Source organism: Homo sapiens, chromosome 4, assembly GCF_000001405.40.
Source record: "Homo sapiens chromosome 4, GRCh38.p14 Primary Assembly".
NCBI classification, from domain to species: Eukaryota; Metazoa; Chordata; class Mammalia; order Primates; family Hominidae; genus Homo; species Homo sapiens.
Genome location: NC_000004.12, coordinates 158,222,546 through 158,239,732, shown reverse-complemented (window position 1 = coordinate 158,239,732; position 17,187 = coordinate 158,222,546). Strand labels below are relative to the sequence as shown.

At 39.3% G+C, this 17,187-nt stretch overlaps 1 protein-coding gene across 4 annotated transcripts in view, besides 1 other annotated feature; it reads right to left on the bottom strand.

Annotated features, from left to right (window-relative positions):
* TMEM144 (transmembrane protein 144) overlaps positions 1-17,187 on the bottom strand; it is a 44,931-nt gene that overhangs the window by 15,684 nt on the left and 12,060 nt on the right. For 3 of the 4 annotated variants that reach the window (XM_005263110.3, NM_018342.5, XM_017008366.2), the window contains 3 exons: positions 6,751-6,832; positions 4,228-4,295; positions 2,090-2,208 (listed from right to left, as the gene is read on the bottom strand). In XM_005263110.3, coding sequence (XP_005263167.1) covers positions 2,090-2,208; positions 4,228-4,295; positions 6,751-6,832 — 269 coding nt within the window. Of the gene's footprint in view, positions 1-2,089; positions 2,209-4,227; positions 4,296-6,750; positions 6,833-17,187 lie in introns of those variants that run through there. The other variant, XM_047415908.1, reaches the window with a different exon arrangement.
* Positions 4,782-5,076: a silencer, noted in NCBI's record as "tiled region #4077; HepG2 Repressive non-DNase unmatched - State 16:ElonW". NCBI's record gives its function as "represses a minimal TATA promoter and a strong SV40 promoter by Sharpr-MPRA in HepG2 cells {active_cell/tissue: HepG2}" and the evidence as "EXISTENCE:reporter gene assay evidence [ECO:0000049][PMID:27701403]".

Here is a 17,187-nt window from a genome sequence, read left to right as displayed (position 1 = left end):
GAAACAATGAATTATGTAACTATGATGTTAATACCTCCCTTTTAAAAATAGGCACTCAGGCCTAATTTTACTAATGACAATAGCAATTATAGCAAATCCTCAGGTTGACCACAGTGAGAATGTGAATGAAAAAAATTGGGGGTGCTAACTTTACAGGATCCATTGATCAATCTGGAGACCAGCATCTCTGTTGCAGATGACAGCTGTACAGAAGGCTGTTCAGGAAGTTAATCCAGAGAGGGCTTTATTCAATTGTTGATTATAAAACGAAGTACATGGGGGAGTTAATATCACATCATGGTGGCCCAATCTCGGAAAAATCCCAACTCCACTGACTGTTTAAGCAGATGGGACTGTGGCCACACAGATGGGTGCACTACAGGTTCTTGGCTGGGAAAGCCATGTTGGATTTAATGTTTCTGTCCCCTAAAATTTTGACAAAGATGAGTGGCCATGTTTAGGAAGAAAAGTTTGACAGAGAGTTTGTCTGTTGCTCTAAGTCTTAAATCCTATTTCTGGATCATGTAAGGGCAATACATCTATATATGGACCACCACAAAAGAAAGCAAAATACAGTGATTAAAAGCATGGACCACCTGGGTGCAAATCCTCATTTCAATACTCACTAACTTTGGGACTTGGACAAATCATCTCACGTCTCTGTCTTAATTTTCTCAATCGTAAAACAAAGAAAGGGTATTAGTTGCTATGAGAATTAACTGAGTATTTGTAAAATACTTAGGACAGAGCACATATTACATATGTGTTTTTAAATAAATGAAATAAAAATAATCCCCCCTCATTATTTTTGAATAAACTGGGATAAAGTGTTCCCATCACATTACATTCAGAGTTGTCACAAGCAAGATCCCTAAGAAGCCATTGTTCTCTTTGTGTGGAGATTGGTGAGGACACTGTTTATTATGTCCCTGTACCAAGAACATCTGTGCTCCTGAACAATTAGTTGTTTTTATCTTGTGCTCATTGAATCATGAGACTGATCTGATTTCCCTTGTGCCTACAAGGACTCTAAGAGCCAAATTTATGCCTCCTTTCTAGCAAGTATACAAATGTAGTATAAAGTTTTTAGATTCGTTTCTGGTTCCTTTTATATACCCACTCTTGTTTTTCTTTCTTTAGTGAGACCTTGTTTTAATTTATTCTATGTTATTCTATTTTTATTAATTTCTATCTTTTTGTAAAAATGCAAAAAAGTATTTGTATAAAATTTTAACAAAAGAAAGACAGAAGTCAGTAAAAGGTTTGAGTAATATACATGGGGCTAACTATAAAAAGGAAGATGGAAATTATGGCATCTACTCAGTCTATCCATTCTGTTAAAGTTGAGTTCAAATCTCAACTTCTTTAACAATCTTTCCCTCACGACTTTTGCCCTCCAAATTCTCCTTTATCTGAACAGAGGTCACATTAATTTTCTGTGCCATCTGATTTAGAACTTTATTTTATGAATGATCTTATTCTCTTATCATTTCATGGTTGTAAGCCATGCTTCAACATAATTAGTAGATCCCCAAAGTAAACACTTTCATCTCCTTTTGAACCTGTACAAGGCTATTGCATATAGTATTGAGTTTACTCTTGGGAGATTAATTCTGTCAATGGAAACTGAGATATTAACAGGAAGCATTACATTGGGCCTTCCAGTGCATGACTCTGTACTTTAAAAATAATATCCTCTGACCAAGTAGGCTATACATTAACCTTTACCTCATTTTAAAGTACTATGTACTACACTTTAGCCTTTTTAAAAGAACAGAAGTATATATATTTTCCCAGAGATCATCTAACTGGAAAATAATTTCCAAATCTTACTGGAAAGTCAGAAACCATGTGTTGAGATCCAAGTAGTTGAAAAGAGTCCTGGCTAAAGTTGGTTGCATTTGTATGTTAAAGATCATATGAAAATGCTCAATCCTTTATTATTTTTGGTGTTCAATGCCTTTCTAATTCGCCACTTACAAGGACAAAGAAAGATCGAATCGACCCATCAATATTTACTATTATCACAATTCTTTTTATATTCATAAAAAGTAGATATTAATAAAGTAAGATAACTTTTTATTCTCACCATATTGGCTTGCCCCTGCATATATACTATCATTTCTTTTGCTGTGGTCCTTGATGTAGATGATTGGCACAAATGTAGATCCATAGAGTACTCCAGATATCACTGCAAGACTGCAGCCCCTTACAAAACAAATAAATCACTATTAATCTTGGCTCAAAGCAGTATTTCTGACAAACGCACAAATGGAATCATAAACATGCTTCAAAAGGCAAATCACAAACAAGCAAAAACCATCCATTTATCTCAAGCTCTGTGACTGGCGGAAGTCACAGAAATACCCTGCAGTATTAAAGTGGCATCAGGACTAGGAGGACAGCTTCAGTCCACCAGTGTCTAATTTTAGAAGTACATGATTTATAGAAATTAAAATGGATTATAATTATGTTGTCATTACATAGATGAGAATATTGCTACAGTTATATTGTACAGTCTACATAAATAAACTTGGCACTCTAATTAAATTGAGATATCTATATACTGACACCATGCTTTATGATTTTTTAAAAATTTTAACAGGCCATGCTATCCAGCACAGAACTAGGACAGACTAAGTACTAAATGCATTTTTGTTGAAAACAACTATTGAAATCCACGAACTTGCCTATGCCTTAGTTGACAATGCCATGGTCAAGAAGAAGTGCTGATTTAATTAAATAATCTGGGTATTTCAGACAAAACATTTCTTTTTATAAAAAAGAAAATGTTTCATTTTCAGCACTGGAGTCAGGCGGACTCCCCAGACTTGGGCCATATCTGCATGAAGCAAGCATTTCCAATGATTGTAGGGGGAGGTGATTCATATTTTGGAACAGTTCCTTGAAGTTAACACAAAGGACAATGACAGAAAACAGAAAACAGGCCAGGCGTGGTGGCTTTCGCCTATAATCCCAGCACTTTGCCACTGCACTCCAGCCCAGGCGACAGAGTGAGACCTTGTCTCTAAAAAAAACAAAAAAATCACACAAAAAACCCTTCCAAACAGAAGACAGTTGTAGGCAAAAACAATTCCCTCCAAAGCTTAAAAATTAAATCAGTCAATTTAAATAGTACTATAAAGTAACATGAGCCTGTAGAAATTCACAAGACCACCTTGGCAACATGTTCTACTCATCCTGGAAATCCCTGTGTCACGTGAGGTCTGGACTTCATAGCCGTGGAGCGTCCCAAACGCAGACAAGACTAATAGACTAAGCCTAGCTAATTACAAGACAACTAACATATTTTTCTTTAAAAATATCTTAATGAAGGGGAGGCTTTGTGAAAAAAAAATTTGAAAAAATTTTTTGTTTGAAAGGTTGGTTTTATTCTGACGCAAAACCAGCAACATATTTATTTCTTCCAAATGTTGTTTGTTATTCTTTCATTCATTCAAATTATTCAAATATTTATTGAGTATCTACTATGTGTCAGGTGCTGCTCTTTCCCCCTGTAAACATAGCATACACGCTATCAAAAAGAAGGCTTTATATTCTTGAGTCAAAAGGTGTCACCACATGAAGTTTAAAGCAGCCATCAAATGTAAAATGCAAACTATATACTAGTGTGTATTTTCATATTTATTTGGAAGTCCAAAAAACAGAACAACCACAAAAAAAACACCCTAAAGTAGAGGGGCTGATGTTGAGCCCAACTCCCTGAGTTCTTATGGAGATAGAGGGAGTAGGACCCACACGGACACAGAATGTTCCACTATATTTGACAATGAATGTCTGGAATTATATAACTGTCTAAACACAGGAGTGTGGGGATTCCCAGAGCAGGGTGGGCATCCTGGGTGGTGCAGTGCTAGACAAGTTTATTGCCTAATCTGACTATGACTGCTGAGAGCAGGTTGGTCACGTTACTACCTCTTTTACTTTAGCTACACAAGTCATGCAAAATTAGGTTGCTTTTATTATCTACTTATCATTTGGAGATAAATGCAATGATTTAGTAATTACTCAAAGCAGTTGAGCTCAAGGGCATCTGTACCTAAAATTCAGCTGGGGACAAAAAAACCTCGCCGCATGGAGATAGAAGTCAAAGCTTGCATTACAATTTTCTTCTTGAACTCAGATGAACATTACTTCATGCTGGTAATCCCTGCTTTAACCAAATATGAAACAGAGTAATAGAGCAAAGAAGTAACCTCTCCTTACACTATGCGGTGGTGTACTGTAGAAAGTTTATCCACCCAGGAACAGGGGTCTTGGGTTGTGTTGATCACCTATTGAAAACATTGGCCCAAATTAAAACAAAAGAACATTCAATTGATAATCACACTGGTGACAATATTTCTAGTGCTTTTCTCTTCTCTTTCAAACATGCTTTAAAATATAATAAACATGTCACCTATGCATTCTGATATCTCTAAACTCAACTGTTTCTAATTGTTTCCTCTTTCATTTAGGATGACTTGGCAGTTGGCAAGTCTTCCATTTCAAATTCTCACATTTAATATGTGGCTATTGTGATACACCTATAAAAACTAATAAAACTTATTATCTCATGTTTCATTTGCATATTTTAATGGTCTGCATAATCTGTAAGGAAATTAGACTCTCCTCCTATGGAATGCTTAAGATCAATGAGCATTTCTTATACTGATTTGTTTTTTTTACTAAATTAGTTAATAAAACATTCCAAGCCATGTTTCAATATTAGGCTGATATTCTAAGCCAGGAAAAATTATGAGCAAATTCATATTTCTACTATGGAATTACAGTACCCCTCCCTTATCTGTACTTTCACTTTCTGTGGTTTCAGTTACTCACTGTCAACAGTAGTCCAAAGACATTAAATGAAAAATTCTGGAAATGAATAATTCATAAGTTTTCAATTTCACACTGTTCTGAATAGTGTGATGAAACCCTGCATCGTCCTTCTCCATCTCACCTGGAACGTGAATGATCCCTATGTCCAGCCTATTCATATCGTATACACTGCCTGCCCCCGAGTCACTTAGTAGCTGTCTTAGTGATCAGATACAAAGACATACTATATATAGGTTTGGTACTATCTGTGGTTTCAGGCATTCCTTGGGTGTCTTGGAACATATTCCCTGTGGATAAGGGGGGTATATTATAATACTATAGCCGAAGTGTTTTTTTGGTTTTTTTTTTTTGAGATGGAGTTTCATTCTTGTTGTCCAGGCTGGAGTGCAGTGGTGTGATCTTGATTCACTGCAACCTCCTCCTCCCAGGTTCAAGTGATTCTCCTGCCTCAGCCTCCCAAGTAGCTGGGATTACAGGTGTGTGCCACCACACCCAGCTCATTTTTTTTTTTTTTGTATTCTTAGTAGAGATAGAGTTTCACCATGTTGGACAGGCTGGTCTTGAACTCCTGAACTCAGGTGATCTGCCCACCTTGACCTCCCACAGTGCTGGGATTACGGGCATGAGCCATCACGCCTGGCCAACTGAAGTGTTCTTGATGTTATAATCCTATTATTTTTGTAAGAGACAAGAAAGTAGATTTGAATTCTTTGTCATGTGCTAAGTCAAGTTTTCCTTTGGCAATAACGGTTTCTTTCATCATAAGGAGCTCATGATGCATGGTTCTGTACCCATCAATCATGCTGTTTATGGATCTTTAAACTTATTGCCTAGAAAAATCTCAGGCAGTTAGCCTACTGTGTATCTTTTACCAAGCTGCATTTATTTTATTATTTTGTTCCATTGTTTTGGAGGATGGTTGGGCAGGAGGTGTCTGGATCCCTGAAGCAGGCAAGGAACCCTTTCCCAAAGCCAACTCCTCCCTTCTCCCTGAAACATTTCCCTGATTAGAGATGCCTGTGGATTAATAAACCTCTTCTCTTTACACTTAAGCTAATTACTATTCAACTTTAGTGTCAATTTAACTAAGGTTTTAGTTGATAAAAGTTTGGATAGGGGAAGAAGGAAAGGAGAAAAGATTAATTTTGAAGTAAGGGGTAAATAAGCACCCTGCCAAGGGGCAATACCCCACTGGGGGTGAGGAGCGCTGGATTCAGAGGGCAGCTGGATAGCACTGGCCCAGGGCAGACAGGAGAGATTTCTTGAGATGAGAAGGATTAGAGCCTGGGTTCATGACAATGAGGCTTTGCCCTGAAGTCACTTTTGTATATGTAGCTACTGACACTTGCGCTTTATCAGGTCCCTTTTAAAAGTTGCTCCTGTTTCATTCAGATTTACTATTCCAGACTGATTTAGATTCTTCAAGATCAAAACAGTGACTCCTATCATATTTTCTGTTTTTCACTTCGGGTAGAATGGGATACCAGTTCCTATTCTCATAGGACTTCACTTACCTTTCTTGGCCTCCTATGGTCTATTCTCCCCTGGACCAACTTCAAAACCTCCTTCCTCTGACTTTCTAAAGTTATTTTCACATTCCTCTACAGTATTTAGGGTTCCTCTATTGTAGGAATCTTTAAATCATTACAAAAATGGGGTTATATATATATCACCTAGTAGAGATCTGTTAATCAAAATAAATAAACCCGTGTGCTTGCTGAGAAGCTCAACTGCGGAAATATTGATTGATTGCTACATAGACCTACCCATAATAAATAAGCTAAGATATTTTACATAGCCAGGAGTGATGAGCAAACACCACTTTTTCATCTGTGTTTAAAATTTATGTATTATCCATTTATCTTAATTTTATGTTTCAAATCAAGTTGTCTCTCATACTATACTCACATGCTCTGTTATTAATGGAGTGGTATCCATGGAACACGTGTTATTTGGTATTTCACTTTTGATGAACAAAAATATGAAAGCACTGTAAGGAAAATAAATTTTAGTGATATTTATCATAATACTGGTTTATATCAAGCTGCTTGATTTTTAAGAAAAAAACACACACCTTAAATAATCGGATCCTAATGATACAATGATTACTTTCAAATTGCCCCTTCAGTGGTCCTGCCGTTTTGCCAGAACTCCTATTCTCTTAGATGTTTCTCATTTTCCTTAATTACAACAGGCTAAAGGCTAAACTCATAAGCTTTCCTTCTACATCAGATATTTCCCTTAACTTTGAAATCACATTGTAAAAGAAACACAAATGAAAACTACATTGAAATAATATTTCTTAGCTATTATATCGACCAACTTCAAAAGTTGAACATCCTCAGTTGGACAAACGCTAGGGGACAGATACTCTCAGATACTGCTGATAGAAGTGCAGAACTGTATAACTCACACAGAGGAGAATCTGGGGTGATCTACTGAGGCCACCGGTGTGTCCACTTCTGACCTTACCAATCCTGCCGGAGGCCCACTCACACAGGTACACTCAAACTCAGGTGAGGTGGCCTACATGGTCATGCAATGGAATACTATGCAGCTGTAAAAATGGAATAATGATGATCTCTATGCTCTGATATGGGAAGATCTCCAGGATATAGTTTAAGAGATAAAAACATACATTTAAATCTAGTGACATTTTTCCCTTTAACATCTCTCTCATAATACACTATTGATGTCCTGTATCTTTGCAACAAATGCCTCACTTACTCTTGGCTTTTAAGCCATGCAAATTTGTTAAAATGTGTCAAAAGATTAAATTAACTTGAGAAAATGAACAACGTTGGGATACTTTTAACATCTCTTTTGAAATACTTTTAAAATACATTTGCATGGTTCAACATTTCAAACAAAATAAGAAGCTTTCAAAGCATATATGACACTGAAATAGGGTAGGTAGCTAGGTACAGAAGAGTGTCTATCATATGCTGTCTTTTGTGTAAAAATTAAAATGCTCTAGTTAGGTTTCTTTGTTCAATCTCTTACTTGCTTTAAAACATGAATAGTTTCATATTCCTTTCCATATGAGATTTAACTTTCCTTTTTGATTTTTATGGCTCTCTGCATTATGTTCCATCCAACCTATCTCAACATAAATCCTCGTATTGGCTTCTATGCCTGACCACTCCCTGCTCCAAGCTGTCTACCAACCCCCCTCCCCAATTTTTCACAACGACTTGCACTTGCTTCTCTTTCTTCCCTAGCTGGACACCCTAGATACTCTTTGTCCTGTCCAAACTAAAGAAGAGTTGAAGTGTTGAATGTGGTTTAAAAAAAAACTTCCCCTTGGGCCAGTCCTCACTGAATCTTCCTCTTTGAATCCCCACAACACTAAGAATAGTTACCACACAATCTAGACCATTTGCCACAATGTAATCTTTTTTTCTCTAAAGATTTTCTAATTCAATAAAAGCCAATGTTGGGGTCAGAAAATGATACCCCAAATTACGGCACTTCGGCGTGCTGAGTACTTTGAACTATAGGAGATTGGAAGGCCTCAGAAGCAGCCTCAGAAGGAAAGTCTCTCTTTGACTTCCTCATGCCTTGATGGCTTCCACTCACCTTTCTCCCACAAAGCAGGCCACAGAAATTAGAATTCCTCTTCTCAAAGATGAGTTATGGACACTAGAATCCCTCTTCCTCAAAACCAGCCATGAAACCTAGATCAGTTACTCCAACAACCCCCAACCCTCCACGTTCTGTGTAGGAGCTGGCTATAAAGAAATTCTCTGACCTACCTTGTCTAGATCATAAGACCCTCATTCCAGAGGGGTCCTGCTGTATATCAAAGAAGAAGAAATACTATACAAAGAGACCAAGAAGAATCCGAACAGGCGGGTTTTGCTATGTTTCTCCCCTCAGTCTATTACCATTAGATCATACCCTTTGTGTAATTACATTTCTACATGGCTGTCAAATCTTCAAATCTAAGCAGAAAAACAGATGTTTTTTCCCTGGGTCTTTGGGTCTTCAGGTTCCCATGTCATGCAGAACTTTGATTAAATTTGTTATGTTTTTGTCTTGTCAACCTGTCTTTTATTATAGGAGTGTCAGCCATGACCCTTATGATAGGGAAGAAAGTTATCACACCTTTCCACCCCTACAGTAGAAACCACATCTTATATCTCCTTCAGGGTCCTCAAGATATTTAACATGTAGTAAAATTGAATGCATAAAGCCTAATATATATGAGTTACATATATGTGTGTTTTATATATATTATATATATATTTACACACACATATTTGTGTAAATATGTATTTCTGTGTGTGCATATATATATATATATTTGTAAGGTTAATATTAGACATCAATTGGCATTTTGTTCTCAAAATTATACAACGAAAATCCTCTACTCTGTATAGACCTGTGTGTTTTTCTAATAAACAATACAGAATGATATGTTAGAAAACACTTGAAAGCTACAGATAGGATGGGTGGGACCAAGATGGACAACTAGTAACAGCAGCAATCAGAGGCTCACATCAAAAAGAATGATAATTAGTGTGTGACTCCTTCACTGGCAACCAAGGTATCCAGATTCTCTCATCAGAACTGACTAGGTGGCTGACATAATAACGGTCAGGAAGGAAAAGCAGTGTGGTCTAGTGGCCCACCTGAGAGCCACACAGGGCTGCAGGACCCCCACACCCCAGCCAAGGGAATTGGTGAGTGAGCATGCTACCCAGCTGGGGAAACCATGCTTTTTCCACAGAACTTGCAACCTACAGATTGGAAGATCCCACTTGCAAACCTACGCCACTGGGGCCTAGGGTCCCAACACTAGAGCCATGCAGATTCTCAACAGCCTCTCCGCTGGAATCTGCCTCAGCCTGCTGAGCTCCCGAAGGGAGGGGTGACCAGTACCACAGCTGCAGCTGCCTGCTGCCTAAGCCATCTGAGCTCCTTGGGGAAGGGGCAGCAGCCAGCACTGGGACTCATTACCATCTAACACGCTAAGCTCCCTGGGTGAGGGAAGGGTAGCATCCAGCTCTATAGCTCCAGGCCATGCTTTTCCACTGCCGGAGCCAGGGAGGCTGGAGAGCTTGATCCCCAAGAAGTGTTCCCTAAAGCCCAACACACTGTCTGTGGCAGAATGTGGCCAGAGCACCTCTTCAGGCCTGACCCTGACCCATCCTTTCTCACTGGGCGGGGCCTCCCTGCAGGAACTCCAACAACTCTAGCCTGAGTCTCAGGGACAGAACCCTAGCCTCCCTGGGCCTCCCTTAGTGGGAGGGTTGGCCATAGTCTCTGCAGACCAGCAGAGTTAGCCTTTCCTCCAGTAGTTCTGAGGAATCTGGATAGACCAGATAAATGGTTTTCCCCCCAGCGAAGCTCACCCCCTCCAAAAGGGACAGTCAAAGTGCTGCCTTAAATGGGTCCTGTTCCCCATGCCACCCAACTGGGTGAGATCCTCTAACAGGGTTTGTCAGGCACCCTGTACAGGAATGATCCTACTGGCATCAGGTTGGTGCCTCTTGGGGTCCGAGATCCCAGATGAAGAAGAAGGCATCCATCTTTGCTGTTCTTCAGCCTCCTTGAGTAACATCTCTAAGCGCGGGAGCAAACCAGATGAATAGGCCCTGAAGTGTACCCCCAGCAAACCACAGCAGCCCTACAGAAGAGTGACCTTGAGAGAAGAGAGACAGACCTTTTCATATTGTTTTATACTCAGAAAAGGGAAGAGAAGCGAAACTAAAGGCAGGTAGCCCGGCGCCTAGGAACCAGACCCAAAACCAAGGAACCAGACCTGAAACCAGGCCTGGGCTTGCCTGACCTAAGCCTGGTAGTTAAAGATCGACCAATGGCCTAACCGGTTATGTTACCTATAGATTCCAGACATTGTATGGAAAGGCTCTGTAAAAATCCCTGTCCTGTTCTGTTTCGTTCTGATTACCGGTGCATGCAGCCCCCAGTCAACTACCCCCTGCTTGCTCAATCCATCACGACCCTCTCACGCGGACCCCTTTAGAGTTGTGAGCCCTTAAAAGGGACAGGAATTGCTCACTTGGGGAGCTTGGCTCTTAAGACAGGAGTCTTGCCCGATGCTCCTGGCCGAATAAACCACTTCCTTCTTTAACTCCGTGTCTGAGGAGTTTTGTCTGCGGCTCCTCCTGCTACATTTCTTGGTTCCCTGACCGGGAAGCGAGGTGATTGGCAGATGGTCGATGCAGCTCCTTAGGCGGCTTAAGCCTGCCCTGTGGAACATCCCTGCGAGGGACTCCGACCAGCCCAAGCGACATGGATCCTGAGAGCGCTCCCGGGTAGGCATTTGCCCCGGTGGGATGCCTCACCAGAGCAGTGTGTGGCAGGCCCCTGTGGAGGATCGACGCAGTGGCTGAATACTGGGAAGGAACTGGTACTTGGAGTCCAGACATCTGAAACTTGGTAAGACTAGTCTTTGTAACTTGCCTACTCCATCCATTTGAGTGGAAGCGTGGCCTGATCACCCATGGCGTGCCCTTATCGGCACTTTGATTTAGTTTTGGTTTTGGTTTTGACTTGGTTTGAATTGCTTGACAGCACCAGTCTTGGGAACTTGCCCACTCCATTTGAGTGGAAGCGTGGCCTGATCACCCATGGCATGCCTTTATCGGCACTTTGATTTTGGTTTTGGTTTTGACTTGGTTTGATTACTTGACAGGACTGGTCTTGGGAACTTGCCTACTCCATTTGAGTGGAAGCGTGGCCTGATCACCCACGGTGTGCCTGTACTGGCACTTTGGTTTTTCTTTTTGACTTGACTTGGATTGCTTGATACTTTGGTTTTGGTTTTGACCTGGCTTGGATTTCTGGATACTCTGATTTTGGTTTTGATTTTGGTTTGGTGTAAACTGCAAAAGTGTGTGTGTGCCTTTTTACCCGTTCTTTGCTTTGTGGTGTGTGTGTGGTGTGAGCATGGTGTTTTGCCTCGAAGAAGCATGGGTCAGGCACAGATAAGCTGACCCTACTAGGAAATACATTGAAAAATTTCAAGAAAGGATTTAAAGGAGACTATGGAGTACTATGACACCAGGAAAACTTAAAACTTTGTGTAAAGTAGACTGGCCAGCATTGAAGGTAAGTTGGCCATCAGAAAGAAGCCTGGACAGGTCTCTTGTTTCAAAGGTATGGCCCAAGGTAACCTGTAAAGCCAGGGCACCCAGACCAGTTTCTGTACATAGACGTTTGGTTACTGGTTCTATACATATACGCTTGGAGAGCTGGTTTTAGAGCTCTCCACAGTGGTTGAGAGAACTGCAGAATAAGCGAGAAGAGAGAGAGGAAGAGACAGAGGCAAAAGGAAAGTCAGAGAGAGACAAAGTCAAAGAGATAAAGAAAGAGAGAAAGAGAGATATATATATAAGTAGTTAAGAAAAAAAACAGTGTACCTTATTCCTTTAAAAGCCAAAGTAAATTTAAAACCTGTAATTGATAATTGAAAGTATTCTCTGTAACCCTATAATGCTCCAATACCACTTCATTGTCAGTGTAAACAATGGCGTATCCTGAAAGCACTGAGGCCTTCCTATCAAAAATCCTTAACCCAGTAACCCGTGGATGGCCCAAATGCATTCAGTCTGTAGCGGCAACTGCTTTGTTAACAGAAAAAAAATAAAACAAAAATAACTTTTAGAGGAAACCTCATCGTGAGCACACCTCACTAGTTCAGTTCAGAAGTATCCTAAATCAAAAAAGCAAAAAAGCAGCTTACTAACTCAAAAATATTAAGGTATGAGGCTATTCCGTTAGGAAAAAAAAAAAAAAGCCATCTATACCAATTCTAAATTAATTTGGACAAAACAAGGTCTTATTAATAGCAAAGGATAATTAAAATCCCAAACTTACAAGGTTTTCAACAAAAGTAAAGTTTGCTAAAAGTTAACAGTGTAACATGTATTATACTAACTTCTATTCTTGTGGCCTCAGACAGCCTAGCCCACAGACATAAAAGAAGTTCGCTTTAGAAAGAATAGTTATCATCTTCAAAAGAAAAAGAAAAGAAAAAAAGGGGGGGCGGGATTTATGTAAAAAGAGTATTATATGGTAAATTCTTGCCCTGAAATAAATTAACTGGTTGTTTAAAGAAAAAAATATTTGTAATAAGTCAGAAAGTTAAAGCATGTCAAAGAATTGTCGGCGAAAGTTGTGAAAGAGAAAAAATGTTATAAAAATGTTATAAAAAAGAATTTATGCAAGAAATGTTGTATAATTTAAAAGTAGCTAGGCCTCCTGAATGTAAAACAAAAACAAAAACAAAACAAAACAGTTTATGTGCAAGGTGTATAAAGAAAATAAAATATACTTTTGATAAAAGAATTATAAGAAGGCATAAAAATATAAATTTTTACCTACATTAAAAGGTTAAAAATATGTATATTTTGTTTTAAAGGTTTAATCAAGTTTTAAAATGTTAATTAGAAAGAAAATTCCATGTGTAAACATTGGCTAAAGTTAAAGAGGTATCATGCAGTTTTTCTGTAAACTGGCCATTAAAATAAAAGCATAGCAGGCTTTTCCTAAATCACCAACCTGCTCTTTAGCAAAAATTATAAAAGATTAAAAAGAGTCTATAAAATCTTACCTTATGCTCAAACATTAAAAATTGGATAAATATGTCTACAAGATTTTATTAAAATTAAGTTTAACATTAATAACACACTAATATAAAGGTAAAATTTAGCTTATCTGGTATAAAAATCATACATTCATTTTACTAGAGGATCATAGAAGTTAAAGACTTAAAACAAACTTTAGCAATTAAGACAGGATACCAAGATGCAAATGCCTGGTTAAAATGGATCAAATATTCCATCTGCACGTTAAACAAAAGCAATTGTTATGCTTGTGCACATGGCAGGCCAGAGGCCCAGATTGTCCCCCGCTCCACTAAGGTGGTCCTCCAGTCGACCAGGCATAGGCTGCATGGTAGCTCTTTTCCAGGATTCTATAGCCTGGAGTAATAAGTCATGCCAAGCTCTCTCTGCTATATCCCGAAGTCCGGCACCCTGCGGGTCAGCCCCCGAGGGCCATCCAGCTTCCATCTCCCAACACTAAATTCACTTCGTGTCTCTCACGACAGGGAGGAAACAGCATTCCTTAGAGACCTGAAAGGATGTGATGAGTTTAAGAATTTTCAAGAGCTTATCAATCAGTCAGCCCTTGTTCATCCCTGAACGGATGTGTGGTGGTATTGTCGTGGACCTTTACTGGGCACTCTGCCGAATAACTAGCATGGCACTTGTGCTTTAGTCCATTTGGCTATCCCTTTCACCCTGGCATTTCATCAACCAGAAGGAGAAAAAAATAAGACATCGTAAAGTGAGAGAAGCCCCTTATAGGTCTTTCAACTCTCGTATCTATTTAGATGCAATTGGGGCCCCACAAGGAATACCAGATCAATTTAAAGCTTAAAATCAAATAGCTACAGGATTTAAGTCAATATTTTAGTGGGTGACAGTTAATAAAAATGTAGTTTAGATAAACTACATCTATTACAACCAACAGCAACAAGCTTTTCATGAGTTAAAAGAAAAACTCATGTCAGCCCCAGCCCTGGGGCTAACTGAGCTGACAAAACCCTTTACACCCTACGTGTCAGAAAAAAAATGGCAGTTGGAGTTTTAACCCAGACTATAGGGCCCTGGCCAAGGGCCAGTGGCCTATCTCTAAAAAAAACAACTAGACAGGGTTTCCAAAGGCTGGCCCCCATGTCTAAGGGCGTTAGCAGCAATGGCCCTGTTAGCACAAGAAGCAGATAAGCTAACTCTTAGGCAAAACCTAAACATAAAGTCCCCCCATGCTGTGGTGACTTTAATAAATACCAAAGGACATTACTAGCCAATGAATGCTAGACTAACTAGATATCAAAGCTTGCTCTGTGAAAATCCCTGCATAACCATTGAAGTTTACAACACCCTGACCCTGCCACCTTGCTCTCGGTATTAGAGAGCCCAGTTGAACATAACTGTGTAGAGGTATTAGACTCAGTTTATTCTAATAGGCCCAACCTCTGAGACCACCCTTAAACATCAGTAGACTGGGAGCTGTACGTGGATGAGAGCAGCTTCGCCAACCCCTGCAAAGTGACTCTGAAGAAGACGACAAGCCCTGCTCCAGTCACACCCAGAAGCTGACTGGTCCACGCATGGCCGAAGCATGAGGAAACTCATCGCAGAACTCATTTTCCTTAAAATTTGGACTTGTATAGTAAGGACTTCAACTGACCTTCCTCAGACCGAAGGCTGTTCCCAGTGTATACATCAAGTCACTGAGGTAGGATGAAAGGTTGCTACGGTCCTATTATTTTACGGTTATTATAAGTGTACGAGAACTCTAAAAAAACTTATTTGTATAATGTTATTCTATACAAGGTATGTAGCCCAGGAAATGACCAACCTGATGTGTTTTATGACTCATCTGAGCCTCCCATGACCACAGTTTTTAAAATAAGATTAAAGATCTCATAAGTGGGATCTAATTAAACTAAAGAGCTTCTGCACAGCAAAAGAAACTATCATCAGAGTGAACAGGCAACCTACAGAATGGGAGAAATTTTTTGCAATCTGCCTGTCTGACAAAGGTTTAATATCCAGAATTTACAAGGAACTTAAACAAATTTACAAGAGGAAAACAAACAACTCCATCAAAAAGTGGGCAAAGGATATGAACAGACACTTCCCCAAAGAAGACATTTGCATGACCAACAAACATGAAAAAAGCTCAACATCACTGATCATTAGAGAAATGCAAATCAAAACCACAATGAGATACCATCTCAGGCCAGTCAGAATGGCGATTATTAAAAAAAAGAGAAACAATAGATGCTGGCGAAGCTGTGGAGAAATAGGAATGCTTTTACACTGTTGGTGGAATATAAATTAGTTCAACCATTGTGGAAGACAGTATGGTGATTCCTCAAGGATCTAGAACCAGAAATACCATTTGACCCAGCAATCCCATTACTGGGTATATACCCAAAGGAATATAAATCATTCTATTATAAAGACACATGCACATGTATGCTTATTGCAGCACTATTTACAATAGCAAAGTCATGAAACCAACCCAAATGCCCATCAATGATAGACTGGATAAAGAAAGTGTGGTACATATACACCATGGAATACTTTGCAGCCATAAAGAGGAATGAGGTCATGTCCTTTGCAGAGACATGGATGAGGCTGGAAGCCATCATCCTCAGCAAACTAACATAGGAACAGAAAACCAAACACTGCATGTTCTCACTCATAAGTTGGAGTTAAACAGTGAGAATACGTGGACACAGGGAGGGGAACAACACACACCACGGCCTGTTGGAGGGTGGTGGGCAAGGGGAGGGAACTTAAAGGATGGGTCAATAGGTGCAGCAAACCACCATGGTACACATGTACCTATGTAACAATCCTGCACGTTCTGCACATGTATCCTGGAACTTAAAGTAAAAAAAATAAATGAATAAATAAATAAAAGGACACTATAGATAAGGCTCTTGATTGTTTTACTTCAAACAGGTGTACAACCCTCCAACAAATCACTCCCTGAGACTTGACAGTTTTCAACTAAAAAATGGGGATATACACTCATCACAGAGCTGTGGTGAAAATCAAATGAGAATGCATACACAATTCTCAGTGTACTTCTGGCACAAAATAAAATCTGAAAACATGTTAGTAAAGAGAAAGCCTTAATTACCAAATGGATAGGTGACGGGGTGCTGAGCATGAAAAAGAAATTAGGAATACACAATGATTTTGAGCCTGTGCAACTAATGCTAGTCATAAGAATAGGTAAATCAGAAAGAAGAGTCCCAGTCAGTTAGATCAAGGGAGTGGGTGGCAGTAAGTAAGGAGAAGGTGATCAAATTTATTTTATGTATATGAACATAAAACCAAATAAATCACAAGGTGTTTTGGGCTACAGACTTAAAATAACTTGGTGCAGTACATCAAATACAAAGTTCCATGATAAAGTCTATGAATGCCGTCAAAGGCATAGGTAATTTAAAAGGAAACTTGATGTTTTACCCAATGATTCTTCTTTACATTTTCAAGCTTTCCAGCTTCCCTAGATTTGCAATCCCGTACATCACACACTTAGTAAAAATTGTGTGTGTGCACGTGCAGTTACGCCGACAACTGAAGTCAACAAACATTTACTAAGCATCAATTATGTGTAAAACACTATATATGAAAGTTTGATGGTGATGGTGGGAGGAATGGTGTATATAGAAAATAATGGGCCTTGTCCTTCAGGAAATCATAGTTCAGGAATAAAGAGGACTGTATAAGTAATACAAAGTAGACTCTGATAGTTTCAATAATGGAAGAAGCACAAAAAGTTTTGGTA